The sequence below is a fragment of the Homo sapiens genome, chromosome 10 (genome assembly GCF_000001405.40).
Source record: "Homo sapiens chromosome 10, GRCh38.p14 Primary Assembly".
NCBI classification, from domain to species: domain Eukaryota; kingdom Metazoa; phylum Chordata; class Mammalia; order Primates; family Hominidae; genus Homo; species Homo sapiens.
In genome coordinates, this window is record NC_000010.11 from 27,273,472 (window position 1) to 27,294,801 (window position 21,330).

At 38.5% G+C, this 21,330-nt stretch overlaps 1 pseudogene across 1 annotated transcript in view; it reads left to right on the forward strand.

Moving 5' to 3' along the window:
* The window catches only part of ODAD2P1 (outer dynein arm docking complex subunit 2 pseudogene 1), a 76,294-nt pseudogene that overhangs the window by 14,710 nt on the left and 40,254 nt on the right, over positions 1-21,330 (forward strand). Inside the window, exons 3-4 of the transcript NR_138082.1 lie at positions 7,817-7,912; positions 15,206-15,353. The product of NR_138082.1 is annotated as an outer dynein arm docking complex subunit 2 pseudogene 1 (transcript). The remainder of the gene's footprint in view (positions 1-7,816; positions 7,913-15,205; positions 15,354-21,330) is intronic.

The following is a 21,330-nucleotide window of genomic DNA, read 5'->3' on the forward strand; positions in this document are numbered from 1 at the left end:
TTCTCTATTTTTACACCAATACCACACTGTTTTGATTACTCTAGCTTTATGATAAGTCTTGAAGTTGGGTAGTTTAAATCCTCCAATGGTGTTCTTTTTAAAAAGTTTTTTGGCTATTCTAGGTCTTTTGCAAGTCTATAAGAATATTAGAGCCAGCATGTCAATTTCTTAAAAAAATACCTGATGGAATTATGACTGATGATATTGCCTTGAATTTATAGACGAATTTAGGAAAAATGGACATCTTAACAATATTGAATTTTCTAATCCATGAACATAGTATGTCTCTCAATTTATTTAGGTCTTATTTAATTTCTCTCACTAATGTTTTGTAGCTTTCAATATACAGGTCTTATACATCTCTTTTGAAACTTATCTGTATTTCATATTTTGGGGCTATTGTTAATGAGTTTTAAATTTTCCATTTCTAATCATTTGTTGCTATTGTATAAAAATACACTTGATTTTTGCATACTGATTTTATATCCTGAAATTTTGCTAAATTCACTTATTAGTTCTGGTATCTTGTTTGTACATTCCAGAGGGTTGTCTATGTAGATGATCTTATTGTCAGTGAATAAAGTTCATTTTCTTACTTCTTCCTTTCTAATCTCAACTCTTCCTTCCCAATCTCAACTTATTTGTATTTCTTTTTTTTTTCCTTAATGCACTAGCTGGAACCACCAGTAAAAAATTGAATAGAAATGATCTCTTGTTCCTGATATTAAAGGGAAATGTTTCAGTTAAGTTTGATGCTAACCATTTACAAGGTTAAGGCTTCTATTCTGAGTCACTGAGAACTTTTATTAGGAATGAATGTTGGATTTTATCAAATGTTTCTTTGTGTACTATGGAGAGAATCTTGTTTTTTTCCTTTTAGTTTGTTAATGTGATTAATTACATTGATTAATTTTTCAAGTGACAAACCAACCTTACATTTCTGAGACAAACCCCACTTGTATCTTTTATATACATTATCAGATTTAATTTGCCAAGATTTTGTTAAGAAGTTTTGCACTTATATTCATAAGGTTATTAGTGTGTAGTTTTCTTTAGTATCTTTGTCTGGTTTTGGTATTGAAGTAATACTGACATTATAGAATGATTTGGAAAGTTTAATCTCCTCTTCAATTTTTTGGAAGAGTTTGTATAGAATTAATATTGTTTGTTTATTAAATGTTTGGTAGGTTTATTAAATGTTTGGTAGTAATGTTTGGTGAAAGCCATCTGGGACTGGAATATTCTTTATGGGAAAAATTTTAAGTACAAATTCAATTTCTTTGATAGTTATGGCACTATACAGGTTATGTATTTCTTCCTGAGGGAGCTTTGGTAGATTAGATTGTCCTTAAAGGAATTTGTTCATTTTGTGTAAGTTATCAGATTTATTGGCATAAACTCGTTCATAGTATTCTCTTACTGACCTTTTAATATCTGCAGAATTCGTAGTCATTGTTACCTCTCTCATTCCTAATATTGGCCATTTGTGGTTTTTTTATTTTGATCCACCTATAGCTATAGGACTACAGATTTACTACATTTTCTCAAGGAACTAACTTCAATTTTTATCTTTTCCACTTTACTTTGATATTTATGTATCTTAATTTTGGGTTTTATTGATTTATTTCTCTAGTTTTTTAAAAATGTCAGGATACATTTAATTTAATGTAGTCATATTTGCATTTGAAGAAATTTTGATGAATTCAGTTGTGAATAATGTTTTACTTGGAGCATATAAAACAAGGCGTCCTCAGCCTAAAAGCTCCTTTAGCTGATAAACAACTTCAGCAACGTTTCTGGATACAAAATCAATGTACAAAAATCACCAGAATTCCTGTACATCAACAACAGCCAAGCCAAGAGCCAAATCAGGAATGCAATCCCATTCACAATTATCACAAAAAGAATAAAATACCTAGGAATACAGCTAACCAGAAAGGTGAAAGATCTCTACAATGAGAATTATAAAACACTACAAAGAAATCAGAGATGACACCCAAATAGAAAAACATCCTATGCTCATGGATTCAGAGAATAAATATCATTCAAATGGCCATACTGCCTGAAGCAATTTATAGATTCAATGCTATTCCTGTCAGATTACCAACAACATTCTCATAGAACTAGAAAAAACTATTTTAAAATTCACATGGAACCAGAAAAGAACCTGAATAGCCAAGGCAATCCTAAGCAAAAAAAAAAAAAAAAAAAGAAACAAAAACAAAACAAAAACCACAAAGCTGGAGGTATCACGCTACCCAACTTCAGACTATACCACAGGGCTACAGTAACCAAAACAACACGGTATTGGCATAAAAAGCAGACACATAGACCAATGGAACAGAATAGAGAGCCCAGAAACAAGGTTACATACCTACAACCATCTGATCTACAACAAAGCTGACAAAAACAAACAATGGGGAAAGGTTCCCTGTTCAATAAATGGTGCTGGGATAACTGATGAGCCATATGCAGAAGATTGAAACTGGACCCTTCTTATGCTATATACAAAAATCAACTCAAGAGGGATAAAAGGCTTAAATGTAAAACTAAAAACTATAAAAACCCTGGAAGATGACCTAGGCAATACCATTTTTGACATAGAAACTGGCAAAGATTTCATGACAAAAGATGCCAAAAGCAATCGCAACAAAAGCAAAAATTGACAAGTGGGATCTAATTAAACATAAGAGCTTCTGCACAACAAACTATCAACAGAATAAGCAGACAAACCACAGAATGGGAGAAAATATTTGCAAACTATGCATCTGACAAAGGTTTAATATGCAGTGTACATAAGGAATGGATTTACAAGAAAAAAACAACCCCATTAAAAAGTGGTCAAAGGACATGAACAGATATTTTTCAAAAGAAGACATATATGTGGCCAATAAACAAGTGGGAAAAGCTCAATGTCACTGATTATTAGAGCAATGAAAATCAAAACCACAATGAAATATCATCTCACACTAGTCAGAATGGCTATTATGAAAAAGTCAAAAAACAGCAAATGCTGGTGAAGTTGCAGAAAAAAGAGAATGCTTATACACTGTTGTGGGAGTGTAAATTAGTTCAATCGTGGAAAGCAGTGTGGCAATTCCTCAAGGAGCTAAAAATAGAAAAACCATTTAACTCAGCAATTTCATTACTGGGCATATACCCAAAGAAATATAAATCATCACATAAAGACACATGCACACATAAGTTCATTGCAGCACTATTCACAGTAGCAAAGACATTAAATCAACCTAAATCCCCATCAGTGGTAGACTGGATAAAGAAAATGTGGTACATATATGTCATGGAATACTATACAGCCATAAAAAAGAATGTGATCATGTCCTCTTTAGGAAGAAAACCAATTACCACATGTTCTCACTTACAAATGGGAGCTAAATGATGAGAACACATGGACACAAAGGGGAACAATAGACCCTTGGGCCTCCTTAAGGATGGAGGGTGGGAGGAGGGAGAAGATCAGAAAAAATAACTATTGGGTACTAGGCTTAGTACCTGAATGATGAAATCATCCGTACAACAAACCCCTGTGACATGAGTTTATCTGTATAATAAACCTGCATATGTACCCCTGAACTCAAAATAAATTATTTTATTTTTGGTAGAGATGAGATTTCACTATGTTGGCCAGGCTGGTCTCGAACTTCTGGCTTCAAGTGATCTGCCTGTCTCAGTCTCTTTATTTAGTTATTTTGGACATAAGATTTCATGCTGCAAATTTCTTTATGAGCATTGTATAAACTGTGTTCCACAGATTTTGATATATGATGTTTTTATTCAATATATATGAGGAGTTTCTGTAGATCTTTCTTTTACTAATTCCTAGTTCAATTCCAATGTATGAAGATATTTTATATGACTTTAGTTACTTTAAACTTGTTAATGTTCATTTTATGGCCCAGAATATGGGCTATTTTGGTGATTTTTTCCTTGCACATTTGAAGAGACTGTGTATTCTGGTGTTACTGAGTTGTGTGTCTTTTAAATGTCAATTAAGTCAAGTTGTCTGATTGTGTTGCTCAGGTCTTCTATATCATTATTGATCTTTTGTTTGCTAATTTTATTGATTGCTGAGAGAGTTTTGAAGTCTACCAATTACGGATTTATCTACTTTTCCTTTTAGCTCTGTGTTTCATTCATATATTATGAAATTCTGTTGTTTGGTGAATATACATTTACAATTGTGTGCTAATTGATCCTTTATTGGTATGTGTGCTCCTCTTTGTCCCTGTTAATATTATTTGCTTTGGAGTCGATATTGTCTGATTTTAATATGGCCATTCCTGCTTTCTTTTGATTATTATTTGCATGAACTATTCTTCTCTGGCCATTTACTTCTGATGTATTTGTATCTTTATATATAAAATAGTTTCTTTAGGCCACAAATAGGTCTCCTTTTTCATCCAATTTGATGATTTCTCATTTAATTGATGTGTGTAAACCATTTTCATTTGATGTAACTACTAATACAGTTAAATTTCAATTTACTATCTTGCTACTTGTTTTCTATTTGTTTCATCTGTTCTTTGTGGTTTTTTTCCTTTCTCTGCCCGTTTTGAATTGAGCTTTTAAAAATGATTCCATTTTATTTATGCTATTAATTTACTGCTTATATTTCTTACTAAAAGTTTCTTAGCTGCCCTCTGGCTTATGATATATATCTCAAACTTATCACGTCTCCTTTAAGTAAAATTCTGAAATTCACAAATAGTTTAAGAAACTTACAACAATATTCCTTGAATACCCCTCCCTATACTTTGTGTTATTGTTTTCACACATTTTATTTCTACGTCATAAACCCTTCAAAACGTTGTTACTATTTTTGCTTTAGACAGTCAATTATATTTTAGAATGATTAAAAAAATACACAAAGTCCTGTATATTTATTTTTTACCATTTCTGCAGCTTTTAATTTTTTGCATAGATCCATGTTTCTGGCTGGCATGGTATTACTCCCGACAGAATAATTTTATTTAACATTTCTAGCACAGGTCTTCTGGCAGTGAATTCTCTGTTTTTGTTCATCTGTGAAGGTTTTTATTTTGCTTTCATTTTTGAAAGATTTTTGTTTTAGTATAGAATTTTGGGTTGACATGGTTTTTTTTTTTTTCATTTTTAACGCTTTAAAGATGTTACTCTCTTTTCTTCTGGTTTGCGGTGTTTCTGATGAGAGGTCTCTTAAAATTCTTATGTTCATTCCTCTGTATTTAATATGTCATACCTGTCTACCTTCAAGATGTTCCCTTTATCTTTGGTTCAAGCCATTTAAATATGATGTGTTTTAGTCAATAGAGGCTTTTGGTTGAATTTTTTGGTGGTGGTGAGGAATGAGCAGGTCCAGCCCTGCTGTTGTATCTGTTGTGCTGCAGCAGAGGTGTGAGTTTAGGAACATCATGTTCCTGTCCACCTAACTCCAACAGAAGCCTTAGTCTTGACATTTCCCTTATTTAGCTGTTACTAAGGACCACAAGTTAGATGCATCCGAGACTTCCTTTCCTGAATTTACCACTGGCGTTAATCTACAGAGAACACTAGATAATTCAGATATCATTAAAAATTATCCTCATTTTTTCAATAAAGGGGATTAGCTTCAATGAAGACCAGCAAAAGGAAAAGGATCAGCTTGGCAAAGCCCCCAAGAAGGAAAAAGCAGCTGCCCTCCACAAAGACATTTCTGGTTCAGGCAAGAGGTCACTGGAGAAGAACCAAATTAATTTTTGGAGGAATCAAATGACCAAGAGATGGGAACCAAGCTTAAACTGGAAGACCACTGTTAATTACAAAGACTATGTAGACATTTGCATTTGCTTTCAGATGCATCTTTAGTAACAATATTCACCTAATGTTTCACATAACTTTATTTATTTATTTTTGAGATGGAGTCTTGCTCTGTTGGCCAGGCTGGAGTGCACTGGTGCAATCTTAGCTCACTGCAACCTCCGCCTCCCAGGTTCAAGTGATTCTCCTGCCTCAGCCTCCTGAGTAGCTGGGATTACAGGCATGTGCCACTACGCCTGGCTAACCTTTTTTTTTTTTTTTTTGTAATTTTAGTAGAGACAGGGTTACAACTTGTTGGCCAGACTGCTCTCAAACTCCTGCCCTCAAGTGATCTGCCCACCTTGGCCTCCCAAAGTGCTGGGATTACAGGTGTGAGACACTGCATCCGGCCAGAACTTTATTTTATAATAGAAAAATACCGAGTAGATAGTTACATGTCCCTCCAAGGAACAGGTTTATTCCTTTCTGCTCCTTTTTGTATTCCAAGCAGAAAGATTTGATAGAGTTTGTGTGTGGAGCACCATGAAGGGAAGGGAAGAACACAATTCACTTTTATATAGTTGGTGAGTCGGGACAAATAATATGCAGAAAAGATGATAAAACACATGGAGAAGTCACAGGAGAAATGTAAAAATCATGGTAGGGACCTGATTAAGTAAGCACTGGGAGAATGTGGAATGATGAAAATGATATGGAGTTAGTCAGGGAAACTGTCATAGAGAGAATGTCTAACAGAACTTTAATACTATGAAAAGGCTAGAGTCTCAAAAATATGAATGGGCCTATATAAAGTGGACACTGGCTTAATGAATGTATGAAATATACAAAACAAGTGCCATTTAGGACCCTCTATAAACAGGCATCAAAGCAAAAATTGAGGGCCAATGCTACTTAAATGCTGGGGCAGTCTGAAATACCTTGAGCATTATTTATTTATTTATTTATTGAGACAAAGTCTTGCTGTCACCCAGGCTGGAGTGCAGCGGCATGAATTGGCTCACTGCAACCTCTGACTCCCAGGTGCAAGCGATTCTCTTGCTTCAGCCTCCCGAGTAGCTGGGATTACAGGTGTGTGACACCACGGCTGGCTAATTTTTGTATTTTTAGTAGAGATGGCGTTTTGCCATGTTGGCCAGGCTAGTTTCGAACTCCTGAGCTCAAGTAATCCGCCCACTTCAGCCTCCCAAAGTGCTGGGATTACAGGTGTGAGCCACTGCACCCAACCCACTTTTTAAAATTTAACAAATAGTTTACAAGTCGCGGCCTGTAGGTGATATTCTATGTTGTCCCATTTTTGGGTTAAGAACTGACTCCTGGTTGATCACACGGGGACCTTCTCCTGCAGGGATTCTGAGAACCACAGAGTGATTGTGTTTTGGAAGCAAACCCAGAGAGCTGTTTGAAGAACGGAGTCATGTGGAGAGGGGAGACACTGGCTCCTCTGATTGATTCTCATCAATTTTGGGGTGTTTGACTTTTGTGGCTCTGTTTGAAAGAGTCAATGTGAAAATGAAAAATGCATGGGCAACTCTGTTGACTGGCAAGTGAGTTGCTTTTTCCATATTCTTACTCTTTCAAGCATGAGATTCCTTAGCAGGTATTCAAGGGAGAACACAGAATGCCAAGGACTATGCAAAGCCTGCGAATACCTGGAAAACCAGGTGCAGGCCCTGTTGCAACGTTGGGTGGGGAAGATAAGAAAATAGAAAACTATAATTGGGGGCAATCCGTACCTAGAGTAGAAGGCATTGGATGCAGGATTCACACCAACAGTGGCAGCCTGTGAAGACCTGTTCCTAGGTGCTGGACAGAAAGTTTCTTCAATATGTAAAACATAGGGCTGTGCTGAAAGAGTGAAAAAGACAGCTCCGAGTGTCAGAATGAGGCTGGAACTCTTGTCAGGAACACACATCATTTGAGCACATGGAAATAACGGAGTATATATCTACATTGCCATCTTTTATTTTTTATTAATTAGCATAAAGCAATAAAGCTAATATATTTGTATATTTTTTTAAAGCAAAGGCTCAGCAAAAGAAATCCAAGAGGACAAACACACAGGAAAACTTGAAAAACCAAGACCATCTGTTTCACACGGAAGAGCACAATTACTTCGGTATGTTTCTGGTCAGCAAGACGAGTTCCCTAAAGCCACCCTCACGCAGTGGGCTACTGAGCATGCAAATTAATGGCATCCTTCCTATTAGGGTCCCCAGATGTTTACACTGACGGTTACTAGGAATGTTAGTAAAAGTGGTCACACTGGATTTCTTTAAATACTTTTTCAAGATATTCTTCTAATGCAGTTACCCAAAATACAGTGATTTACTAGTATTAGTTGACTGTGGGAAAAGAAATGTATTTAATGCAAAGAGCAGTGAACTAAGTTTAGGAACACTGGGCTCTTAACTGATGTCTTGCCTCTGAACAATCATGTCCTGGCAAAGTTATGTATCTGTCTGAGCCTCCCTTTGCTGATCACAAAAGACTGCCGATTTTGAAGTGGTCTATGTTATTGCTAACGAAAACAATTAAAAATTGAATATGAGGCCAACTAGTAAATTTTTACTTGATTTTCAGTTTGACAAAAAAAGTGACATGTCTGGAAGATAAGGGTCAGCCACTTTTATTAGCTTCAGAGTGGTGGATATTAGCGCTTTTGTTACAATCTCACAGTTCCTTGAGGCTGCGTTCACTGATTTTTTCAGTTATTTTTTTCTCTACGTTGTTCAGATTGAGCCAATTCTGTTGTTCTATCTTCAAGTTCATTTATTTTTTCTTCTGTCCTATTCTTCTGCTAATTTCATTCAGTGAGTTTTTAATTTCACTTATAATTTTTAGTTCCAAAATTTCCATTTGGTTTTTCTTTTCTATCTTCTCTTTCTTTGCTGAGACTTTCTATTTTCTTCATTTGTTTCAAGCATGTTCATATAGCTTGTTGAAATATTGTTATGATGGTGCCTTTCATATCTTTGTCAGATAATTCATACTTCTTCGTCACCTTGATATTGGCATTTTAAAATTGTCTTTTCTCATTTAAGATGAGATCTTCCCCATTCTTGGTATGACAAATAATTTTCAGTTGAAATGTAGACATTTTGGTTATTATGAGACACTGGATCTTATTTAAATTATTTATTTATTTATTTGAGACAGAGTCTTGTCTGTCACCCAGGCTGGAGTGCAGTGGTACAATCTTGGCTCAGTGCAACCTCCGCCTCCCGAGTTCAGGCAGTTCTTCTGCCTCAGCCTCCTGAGTAGATGCAATTACAGGCGTGCGCTACCACACTCAGCTAATTTTTTTATTTTTAGTAGATACGGGGTTTTGCCATGTTGGCCAGGCTGGTCTTGCACTCCTGACCTCAAGTGATCTGCCTGCCTCGGCCTCCCAAAGTGCTGGGATTACAGATGTGAGCCACTGCACCTGGCCTAAATCTTTTATTTTAGAAGGCCTTCTCTGCCACCATATTGGCAGGATGAGGTATGTGTTGCTTCTCCAGGCTGGTGAGGAATTGAAATAGCAGGTTTTCCCATTGGCCTTCACTGATGCCTGGGGGGTCAGGCAAGGGAGTCCTCATTATTTCTGGAGGGTAGTGGGAGTTCATGCTCCACCTATGCCTCTGGTGATACCAGCCGGACAGTGTGACGGGGGAGTCCTTCGTTACTTTGTCAGTGGGCTCTACTGATATCACAGTTCGGATAAGTGACTTCATTTTTGCCACGATGTAGTGAGCATCTGACTCCCTGTCAGGCCTTCTCTGAGGCCACCCCAGCAGGTGGGTTGCAGCGCTTTCTTACAGTCTGATAAAGGTAGAGCCCTAGGCTCTTCACTTGGCCTTTGCTATAAGAGGTAGACTTGGGCCACGCTGTTATGTGTGGTCTTGATTGACATAGATCATTTGTTGTCTAAACATTTTCTGTCTTATTAGGCTTTCCTTTTCTGGCCCTTTGAATTAGACAGAGCAGGACTTTCTTAGGTCCTTTTTTTGCCTGCACCTCCTGGAGTTTCTGCTTTGCCGGCTTTTCCAGTACCCAGTCTAGGAAGAATGAGACAAAAAGAAAACCCAGGGAATGCACCGCTGTGTTGAGCCACAGGTCTTCAGATCCCTAGGTAGTGCTCTTCTTTTTCTCTACCTTTCAGAGTCACCTTATGTTTGTTTTATATACAATATCCAGATTTTTAGTTGTGCTTGGTGGGAGAAATAGGGAAAAGTATATCTACTTCATCTTTCCTGAAACAGATATTGGGCCAAAAGTATTTCAATTTTTAGTGAGTTAGAGAGCTTCAGGGTAGTAGATAAGGTAAAGTTGTAACATATCTAAGCAACAGCTATTACTCAATGATAAAAATGAAACTTCTCTGTGTCTAATCTTGCCTAAGTGGATAGAATTCTGTGGTAGAGAAGTATTTCTTAAGGTGGAGTTTGTAGATCAATTCAATGTTGACATTTGCTTCTTTTTAACTCCTGAATATGTAGTTGCCATGGAACAGGATTGGAAAGAATCATATCAAATAGGAAAAGCATTTTAAAGTTAGCTATCAAAGGATTCATCAATTGGAAAAAAAAAGCTTTTCTTTGGGGCGCTGCTTTTTAAAATGGGATTGTGGAGTGATTGGGTAGACCTAATTCACTCTGCCCTCAACTCCAGGAGCTTGTTAGACTAAGGGAAGGTAAATTTAGGCTTTCCCCAAAGAATTTAGGCTTATTCTACTATATGCTTCAATCTGGAATCTTTGAGTTAAGTTTAAGTCACTTCTTGAATAAGGCCTGATATACTGGAAACTTCACTCAGGTGGCTCATTAAATGGGAACAGATGCTTGAATTCAGGCTTTCCCTCTTCCAGGGTCCAGAGAGCATAATCATAGTGTTTTACACACAAATTGGCTTTTGGAAGCGCAGAAATTGGGGGTTCTCTGTGCCAAAAAAACTGTAAGAAATTAAGAAAATCATGGAACCTTACAAATTAATAAAATTTAAAAATTGCCCATCCTCTTTCTATGCTCCGAAATGGAATAGACTAGAAAAGACTTTTATGGATGAGAACCCACTGGGAGTTGGAGAGAGGAGAGGAGGGAGAGAAACAAAGAAAATGAGAATGAATTGATATGAGCATGAAGGCTTAAATGGACTAGTCCTTGCCCATGAGCTTAATGTTGAGTTAGAAACTTCTAGAGCGATGAGGAATAAAGTGTACTTTCTCATAAGTCTTTTTATAATTAGACCACAATGATCGTGATTCCACTAATTCTATTTTTGTAAATCCAAGTTAAACATCTGCAGATGGCCCGTTTTCAGCCCTGGTTGATTTCACTCCAGGTTTGCACTGTGTCAATAACCTTTTTATGGATTACTGGGGACCCAGATATGTTTTCTAAAGATTAATGGGAGCCCAGAATGAATACACTACTCCAGGGGGTGGCTGGCAGGGTCCTTGGGTTCCTCTTTCCCACAGACACCACTCTAAATGCAAACTCGAATGAGTCCTGTCTCCTCCTGGACTCTCCTCTGTATCTTGCTCTGCAATAGCCCAAATGAATCATTCTTCCACTTTGCTCTCTCTTCTACATTTTTTTCCTTGCCCCCACCTCATACTACAAGGAAATGAATTTTCTTATATCCTAACCCTATGCACCAAAGCCTCCACTCTCTCCTTTCTTGCATTTATTGAAACTTTTCCATGACAGCAGCGATTCTCCTTCAGATCTTCTTTTCCCTAGGCTCTGTGTAACCACAGGGCATGGGGACCGTAGGCGGAAATCTCCTCTTTATTGCTTCAAACTACCTTACTCTTCAGATTAGATCTCCTTTTCTATGAGGCTGATGTAACCCTCTGTCTTTCCTGGTTGCTGTTTTCTATGGACCCATTGTCACTGACGATTTTGACATTGACTCACTATCACTTTCATCCTATGTCCCATCATCATCTTGAAAAACCTGAAACCCCAGGAGGAAAACCAATACCAAATCTTGGCCTGCGCACTCCCTGGTTTCAGTCTCACTGACTGTTGCCTCCTCTCCATCAAGCTGCTGCTACTGCCACCTCCTGGAATTATCACCAGAAGTACCCTTCTTCCAAAATCTAAACCTAGACTGAATTTTGTTCATTCACTTATTCATACCTGCTTTAATTTATTAATTCTTGTAGCAATTATTTACTGACTTCCTTGTGCTAGGGGAGACAGTATAAAAAGTATAAAAGACAGAAACGGTCCTTGCCTTCATGGAACTTACGAAGACACTACAAGAAAACACAGAAATAAAAATTTTCTGATGGTGACCAAAGTGGACAAGGTACTGAGCTACAAAATAATGGGAACTTAGGTAATTACTCATAGACCACAGATTTGATTCTGTTCTTGCTGAACATCGAGGTAAACACAAAAACCTAACCAGTTACTTAATTTATGTGGTCCTTAAGATGAAAACAGATCAGATCTTCAAAGACAAAACCACACCTTTTCCTTGGAGTTTAACAAAGATACTGAAATACAGTATTCTTCAATAGCATTCCCTTGATACCTGGCAGCCAGCAGGCCCTCCATGCATGTGTGGTGAATGAATATGCATGATAATACAGAACTATCTAACACGTATTTCATGCTTTTTGTATGCCAGGCACTGTTATAAGCTTTTTACATACTAACTGCTGTTATCATCCTCAATTTGCAGGTGAGGAAACCGAGGCACGCACAAGTTAAATGACTACCCCAGCTCCTCTAGGAACCAAGATGAACAGCTCTCATTACGAATATTTGTTTTAACACAGCCACTTTACTAACCATGGAGCTTTGTTCAAATTGTTATTATTACAGAATCTTGCTCTGTCATCCAGGCTGGAGTGCGGTAGCGCAATTTTGCCTCACGGCAACCTCTGCCTCCCAGGTTCAAGTGATTTTCCTACCTCAGCCTCCTGAGTAACTGGGACAAGAGGCACATGCCACTACACCCAGCTAATTTTTGTATTTTTAGTAGAGACAGGGTTTCACCATGTTGGCTAGGCTGGTCTCAAACTCCCAACCTCAAGCAATCCACTCACCTCGGCCTCCCAAAGTGCTGGGATTACAGGTGTGAGCCCACCACACCCGGCCCAAATTATTTTTAACTCATTGTCTCTATAATGAGAGTAATAACAACCTCATAGATTGTTGAGTGAATTAAAATGAGACATTTAACCCACAGTCTGTTGTCCTGAACTCTCGTGGCCAAATGCATGCGGTTCTGAAAAACTCACTTTAAAAAAGGGTAATGAAATTCATATAATATATATTATATGATAACCTCTATTGGAGTGTGAGCCAATACCCTATAATCAAAAACATGAGCATTTCTGTAGTGAAACATGAATATTCACACTGAATGAGAGGAATAAAGACCATAAATAGTCTAGTATCAATTCATATAAGTCTTTAGCAACAAGTTAAGTCCAGTGGGGAAAAAAATCAGTTTTCAGAGATTTTTCAATTTCAGAATTAGAGGAAAAGTATTGTGGACTTGTGTGATCTATAATGGTCATTGACTTTATGACTTTGATATTTAAGGACACCTTAATATGTGATTGGCAAGGGCCACATTTTAAGTAATTTTGGATCCTTCAATGTGAATGGTTTTTTTTCTCCTCTTAATTTCTCTGAGGTTTCCTTGCTTGTAGAATGTGGATGATAGAGCCTGCTTTGCAAAGTGGTTGTGAGGTTTAGAAATAATAAATATAAAGTGCCTGGGACAGGCCGGGCGCAGTGGCTCATACCTGTAATACCAGCACTTTGGGAGGCCGAGACGGGAGGATCACGAGGTCAAGAGTTTGAGACCAGCCTGACCAACATGGTGAAACCCCGTCACTACTAAAAATAAAAAAATTAGCCAGACGTGGTGGCGCATGCCTATAAGCCCAGCTACTCAGGAGGCTGAGGCAGGAGAATCACTTGAACCCGGGTGGCGGAGGTTGCAGTGAGCCAAGATTGTGCCAGTGCACTCCAGCCAGGGCGACAGAGTGAGACTCCATCTCACAAAAAAAAAAAAAGTACCTAGGACAAAATAGACCAACCTACACAAAAATGGTGGCTGCTGTTGGTATTATTTAATATTAAAAATAGCTAGAAGATTTAAAAGTTTGCTTCTGTCCTGTGAGATGAGGAATATGTGGGAAACAATATCAGGATAAATATCCTGGGTTCAGCACCTCTCCACATGTGAGTGATGGATGAGTAGTTCCTGAGACATCACTGTGGATTTGGTGACCCAATGGCAGTAACCTGGCATCCGGCAGTGGGAGGTGGAGACAAGTTGGTGTGATGAGTGTGCATGTGCATGAGGGACCTCTGCAGGGACATAGGGCATATATTGGATTCCAGAAGGCTCTTGTAATACTGTTGTCCATGCATCAAACCATAGAATGTGGTGTACTTCTGTGGAACTCAACACTTTGCATGGTAATGTCTCTCAGAGTTGGTGGCTAACTCTTTGGTCCTGAACCTGATTATGTTCATGTTATTGCTGTTCTTTGGCACCTTGTGCCCTTGCAAGTACTTCAGTGTAGGCATTATGGAGGGATGTGCTGAATATTGACTCTCTTTGGTAAAAGAGACTCTTTCACTTTAGGGCCTTGTGGCACTGCCCAGTTGAACTTACTGGAATAATAGAAATAGTCAATATCTGAGCTGTCCAGTATGGTAACCACGAGACACGTGGGCCATTGAGCACTTGAATGTGGCTAGTGTGATTGGAGAACTGGATTTTTAATTTTCTTTAATTTTAGTTAAATAAATAAGTTCAAATATCTGTAACTATAGACGACCACATGCAATGAGTGGCAGTCTTATTGAAAAGTGCAGCCTTAAGACATTCACTGAATACCCTTGTTTATTTCTCACTGTTTTCTTTATTATGATTATTGCACCCAGAGCAATTGCACCTGCAATAGAGACAGGTTTATTCACCTCACGCAGTTCCTTTTTATTTTATTTTATTTTATTTTTGAGAGAGAGTCTTACTCTGTCTTCCAGGCTGGAGTGCAGTGGTATGATAATGTAATAATGGTTTACTGCAGCTCAAACTTCTGGGCTCAAGCGATCCTCCTGCGTCAAGCCTCCTGAGTAGCTGGGATTACAGGCATGCACCACCATGTCTGGCTAATTAAAATTTGTTTTTGTAGAGACAGAGTCTTGCTATGTTGTCCAGGCTAGCATTGAACTCTTGGCCTCAAGTGATCCTCCCACCTCAGCCTCCCAAAGCACTGAGATTATAGGCATGAACCACTGCACCTGGCCTCATGTAGATCTTAACAGAGATCTACTAGAACTCAGAAGGTGTTGGTATCTGATCCATTGCTTGTGCCCATGTTGCCAAAATATGATTATAACCATCTCCACACTGTAGCTTACATGTGTATGTGTGTTGTTATTGTTCTTAGGAAGAGTGCTGAAAAGATTGAGGAAACTGTTAGCGATAGCTCCTCAGAAAGTGAGGAAGATGAAGAACCACCTGACCATCGTCAGGAAGCAAGTGCAGATTTGCCATCAGAATATTGGCAAATTCAGAAGCTGGTGAAATATTTAAAGGTAAGAAAGGCCTGTGGTAGTATGTTTGCAATGTTCATTTAAAATACTTTCCCAAGGATGTATATGCTGATTCCAAGTTTATGTTTCTTTCAAATAAGAGTAGTAAGCATTCCTGTTGTTTTATCTAAGTGTGTGCAGGGAAAGGTCTTATTACCCTGAGGATGCAAGATTCATCCTCATGGAGCAACCAGGCTGCCTGGTACCAACCCTCTCTCCTGGCTGGGGAGTGCCCATGGTAAACAGCTGACACTGAGACTTGCTGCCATTTTATGATTTGTAGTATGGTATGGAAGAAATAACATGGATTTTTAAAGCGGACTTTGGTTAAACTCCAGGCTGTTTCCCTTACTAGCAACGTAGCTGTTGAAACGTTACAGTTTTGAGCCCTAATTTTCTCAACACTTGGAATAAAATTAATATACCTGTACTACAGGACTATTATAAAGTTTAAGAAAACACACTTGAAACATACAGCGTGGTTTCTGAGACATTGTGGGTGTTTATAATGTGGATTGGTTCATTTTCATTTCTCTCAAGTCAGATAGCATATATGAGAATATTTTACATAATAATTGGCCACGTAATGTATTTAAGTACTTGAATTTGCAGGAGGGCAAGGGGAATGACTCACCAAAACCCAGATTAATATTCATTTCTGATGTCAGATAGCAAGTATTGATGATATCTAGGCCTTGTGTAAAGTCGACGTCCAGAGTATTTGAAAAAGCATTTGACTCAACTCATGTTTTCTTTCTGCTTTTCCATGTCTTTGGTCAAATCAACCAAGGGCATTTGCCAGTGGCTTTGCTTGATTCAATCATTGCAGTGTAAACATTTATCAAAATATCACATTGTACTCCACAAAAATACACAATTATTCTTTGTCAATTAAAAATAATTTGTATTTTGGCTGGGCGTGGTGGCTCACGCCTGTAATCCCAGCACTTAGGGAGGCCGAGGTGGGTGGATCATCTGAGGTCAGGAGATCAAGACTAGCCTGGCCAACATGGTGAAACCCTGTCTCTACTAAAAATACAAAAAAATTAGCCGAGTGTGGTGGTGGACGCCTGTAATCCCAGCTACTTGGGAGGCTGAGGCAGGAGAATCGCTTGAACCCAGGAGGCGGAGGTTGCAGTGAGCCAAGATCGCACCATTGCACTCCAGCCTGGGTGACAAGAGCAAAACTCCATCTCAAAAAGTAAAATAAATAAAATTTTGTATTTCAGAAAGGACATGAGCTTATACAAAACAAGCCCTAATGCTCAACTTGGAGATCCTTTTGGCAGGCTCTTAATGATTTTACCAACATCAATGCAAAATGAAAAATATTGTTTTTTGGTCTGGACTGTTTGTCATGAAACAAACCTCTAGACTACTGGAGAGAACAGTTAATATTTTGTGAGTTTTAAAATTTCATGTTAAGCGTGATACTTCATAAATATTAAATATTTTTATGGCATCTGTCAATTTTTAAAATGTTTTTTATTTGGCATTTATTTTGTGTTAATGTTTCCCTCATTTAGTGTTTCATATTATGAAATTCCTATATCAGGTGCACATTGTTGTTACATGTTGTTGCAGTATATAATTATGTCACATATTTTGGCTCATAATAATAATAAATCATGCATTTATTACATAAGTTTTTTTTTTTTACAGAAAACCTCTGAAATTTTTAGCATAACTCTACCACAAAAAATGATTCACTGTTTATTATGATAGAAATGATTCACTATTATTACAGGCATTCATTATTATTTAAAGACATGTAAATTAAATGTTAGGAAAAATACAGAATAATATAATTTTGGGAACTCATGAAAATTCCTAGGAATTTTGATTGTATATTCCTGAATCTTGAAGATGAACCTGTCGGGAATTTGGAAACACTAGCATGGAGCACAGGCTAGATTCAGGCCACACGTTTCTGCACTCCCCTTTGGCAGGAGTATTTGTGCACAAACCACATAGTTCAACACAGAGGTCCCGCCTGGCACACATGGCGACCATGTCCAGCCTTGGGACATTTAGGACAACCTTGCAACAGTGCCTCTGCATCTTTACTGAACCCCAGGGCCTCCTGTAATTACCTCTCCTGGACTTCTAAAAAGCATGCCATCTGGGGAAAAAAAAACAAAACTGGCAGTGGAGAACTTTGCCAACACCACTCTCTCTCTGAGGCGGGCAGCTCTAGACAGGGTGACTGAGGCTTAGACATGGTCCGCCCTTCTTCCTCTCCTTTCCTCTCCTTTCCTCTCCTCCCCTCTCCTCCCCTCTCCTCCCCTCTCCTCCCCTCCCCTCTTTCCTTTTCTCTTTCCTAGGCTGATCCTGAACTCCTGGCCTCAAGCAGTCTTCCCACCTTGGCTCCCAAAGTGCTGGGATTGCAGGCATGAGCCTCTACACCCGTCCAAGACATAGCCTTTCAGAAGATGAATTAAGAGAGGCCTGAGTTTTTCCCAGGAGTCCTGGTCCATTATCTTTATTTCATTAGCAAAAGGAAACAGAGTCAAAATGGCAGAAGCAAAAGATGGGCTAGGAAGCAGAATACCAGAGTAATTAGAAGCACGATCTTTGACGTTGGAAAGACCAGTTGAGTTGAAATTCTGCCACTTACTCAATAGCCTTGGATGAGTTGACTAACCCCTCTAAGCTTCAGTTTCCTCATTGGTGAAGGTGGAAAAATAAAAGTTCTCTTATATTAGGATTATTAAGAATGTTAAATGAAATACAACACATGTAAAGTGCTTAGCACAAAGTAGTAACTGTTGGCAATAATAATCATTGCTATTGCTTATTATTATTGTAGCAAATGTGTGGCATGGAGACTTAACTGACTCGTGCAGGTGGCCTTCAACTTTTACTTTCAGTTCTCTAGCAACCAATAAAAGGGGGGAAATAGAGTGAGTTAATACAGGGAGGGAAAGTCTCTCAACGTCTTAAAATAAAAACAAACCAGTTGCCAGTGAGTATAACTGATCCTGGTGCTAAGAGCAGGAAGAATTTTCTCCCTTAGGATTTAATGGGGCAGGCACAGAGTGAGAGAGTGAACAGCCGCAATAATACCCTCCCAGTGAACATGGCAAAGAGAGTTTCTCATAATAGCCTAATTACTGGATAACTGTCTTGAGTTTTTCAACTATTTAGGATAAGTCCAGGTAGCATTAGGCCAAAAAGAGATGCACTATTTCTGTCCCAGTACAGCTAAAAAAAACATTTATTGATGAAGTGCTACTTAAATTTGCACGAGTTATTCATCAATAAATCATGTGCAAATGTGATACTCTTGGCCAGACAGTAAATTGCTTGGAATTCTTATAGTTCCCACAGGTAAATATTCTTCATGTAGCCAATAAAAGGAAAAGTATATCTTTAAATGATTTCAAGGTTTTCGACACAGATAAATATTCTATCTGGAGACATAAAATGATACTAGAAGTCTATGAAATGCAAAGTTGAATGTCTCTAGGCAATCTCAAAATAAATACACTTAACATTTTAATTTATGAAATTATGATTTAAATGTAGATTTAAGCTAGCAGAGAAATGTTCATGTTGACCTGACTTTCTATTTACCATTTTCTAAGTAATGTCTGTGATTGTTGGGGAAAAAAAAGAGATTTAATGAGCTCATTAATACCCAGACAGGTCAATGAACTATAGCTTATTAATTGTCCAGAGCTATGAGCTCATATCTTGGCACATCAAAATAGTTTGTATTTAATTATTTGGTTTGACATATGTTAATTTCAACCTGCAAGTTTTATATATGTATATATTCTTTTCATCTGGATTTTTTGAACACAATTTAATTTTTAAATTAATGAATGTATCACATTTTTACTCACCAACCTTCCAGCTTCTTCTCTCTCCCATAGCTGATGATGCTGTACCCTAATTCTAAAGGAAGCAAGGAACCCCCTTTTCAGCTACCTTACTGATAAGCACTTATGTTCTGCCTTCTGCCATCCTGATGGTTCAGGTTGTCTGTCTTACTACCTACTTCTTGAGTAGAGAGATCACATTAAATTTATTGCTGTATCTCGCAGGGCATCTTGCTAATGTGCACAGGCTCGCCTCCCTACCTCTGCCCTAATGGTGCGAAGGGGAGAGAGCGAGGTTCCTTAGTGGCAGGGCTTTGCTGTTCTTCACTCTCAGCCCCCTGAAAGCAGTTCTTCCTGCCTCTGAGCCTGTCTTTCCTTCTGCTGTTGACTTCTTTCCTACTTTTTTTGCATCCCTCTCTCTTCCTTTTCCTGCCGTCTTTCTTGTAGACATACTAGTTGATTGCTGTATTTGCTGACTTTATATGGATATTATTTTCTCCCTTGGCCAAGATTGTTTTAAAATCTTGCAAGGAAAATGTCTTGCTTTTGATCACTTCTAGCGATTAAAGGAGATGGTTTGTTAATGTCTCTATGCTCCATACTAAATCTATGAGTCTCTCTAAAACTTCAGTGAAATCATGCTCATTTCTAAATAAGGTATGTGGAGAGCCCCTTTGTGAAATACGAGAAGGGATGTAGGATATTTTCTTTGTTTGGAAATGTGGAAATAAATATTAGTTACAAGTACTCTATGTTATAAATTCATACAAATGGGTATTCTGCAGTAGAGTGGGGTAAAATGTTGAAAGGTCATAATTATAAGTAGGTTTGCATTTTATACACATTATAATGAAAAAGAATTTCTGGACCCAAAGTCAAAAACATGTTGAAATCCATTTCATGTAATCCCAGCACTTTGGGAGGCCAAGGCGGGCAGATCACGAGGTCAGGAGATTGAGACCATCCAGACCATGGTGAAACCCCGTCTCTACTAAAATACAAAAAATTAACTGGGAATGGTGGCATGCACCTGTAGTCCCAGCTACTTGGGAGGCTGAGGAAGGGGAATCTCTTGAACCAGGAGGCAGAGGTTGCAGTGAGCTGAGATGGTGCCACGTCCCTCCAGCCTGGGCGACAGAGCAAGACTCCGTCTCAAAAACAAACAAACAAACAAAAAAACAAAAAAGAAATCCATTTCAATGTGGATTGAAGGTAGAGTGGATATAGTATTTAACACTTATAGGATCAGTAAATCCAAGAAGAAACTGAGAAGACTAGAATAATGCCAAGAACATGGTTGGTTGTCAGCTTTTTGGTAGTTTAGAGGCATTTCAGAGGCTGGGCCTAGAATTATGCTTTCTTTCCCTTGAAGATATTTCCTAGAGCTGTCACTAGAGGGTAAGATGCCCGTATTATCCAGGCACCAGCTCTAGGCTCACGAAGGGTTACATTGGCAAGCACAGTTGGATATCTGCCCATACTCTGAAATGCTTCATCCAGCCTGTCTTATTCCTGAGTACTTGCTGCAATGATGGAGGCCTCTAGGGCTCATTCCCAGGGCCATTTCTCCACGTGTACCTCCTCCCTGTGGGATGCCAGCTTCTGTACCTGGGATTTTGATCAGAGTCCAGGTGGGAGAGTGGGGAAAGGGATGATGAAAGCACTGATTTGGAAAGATGAATCCAGCAGCAGGTGGTGTGCCAAGTGAATCTAATGGGAAGGGATGAGAAGACAGTGACAACGGGTTTACACTGGTAGAAAGGATGGCCATTACCACACATTCATCCTCACCCCTGACCCACGATGGGTTGGTGAGGGGTAGCATAAGCCTAATTTGTTTGTCCTATATCATCAAATTCATCAAACACTGGAGTTGATTTCACCTTTCACATGAGCCACATTGCTTGCCATGCTTCTGCTCTGTAACCATAAATTGAGAATTTTCAGGCCACCAGATGCCTGGTGGATCCCAGCTTAGCAGTGGTCAATACTCTATTCCTGAGTGGCATCTAAAAGACATTCACATCAGAAATGCCACCGGGCTGCCAACTTCAGAAGGGACTCCCAGAGCTCTCTCCCTGGTAGGTTTTGGGTTTCTTCTCTGGAGGTGGATTCTTGGCAAGGACATTTTTCAGACTTGAAACCCTTTGTTAAAG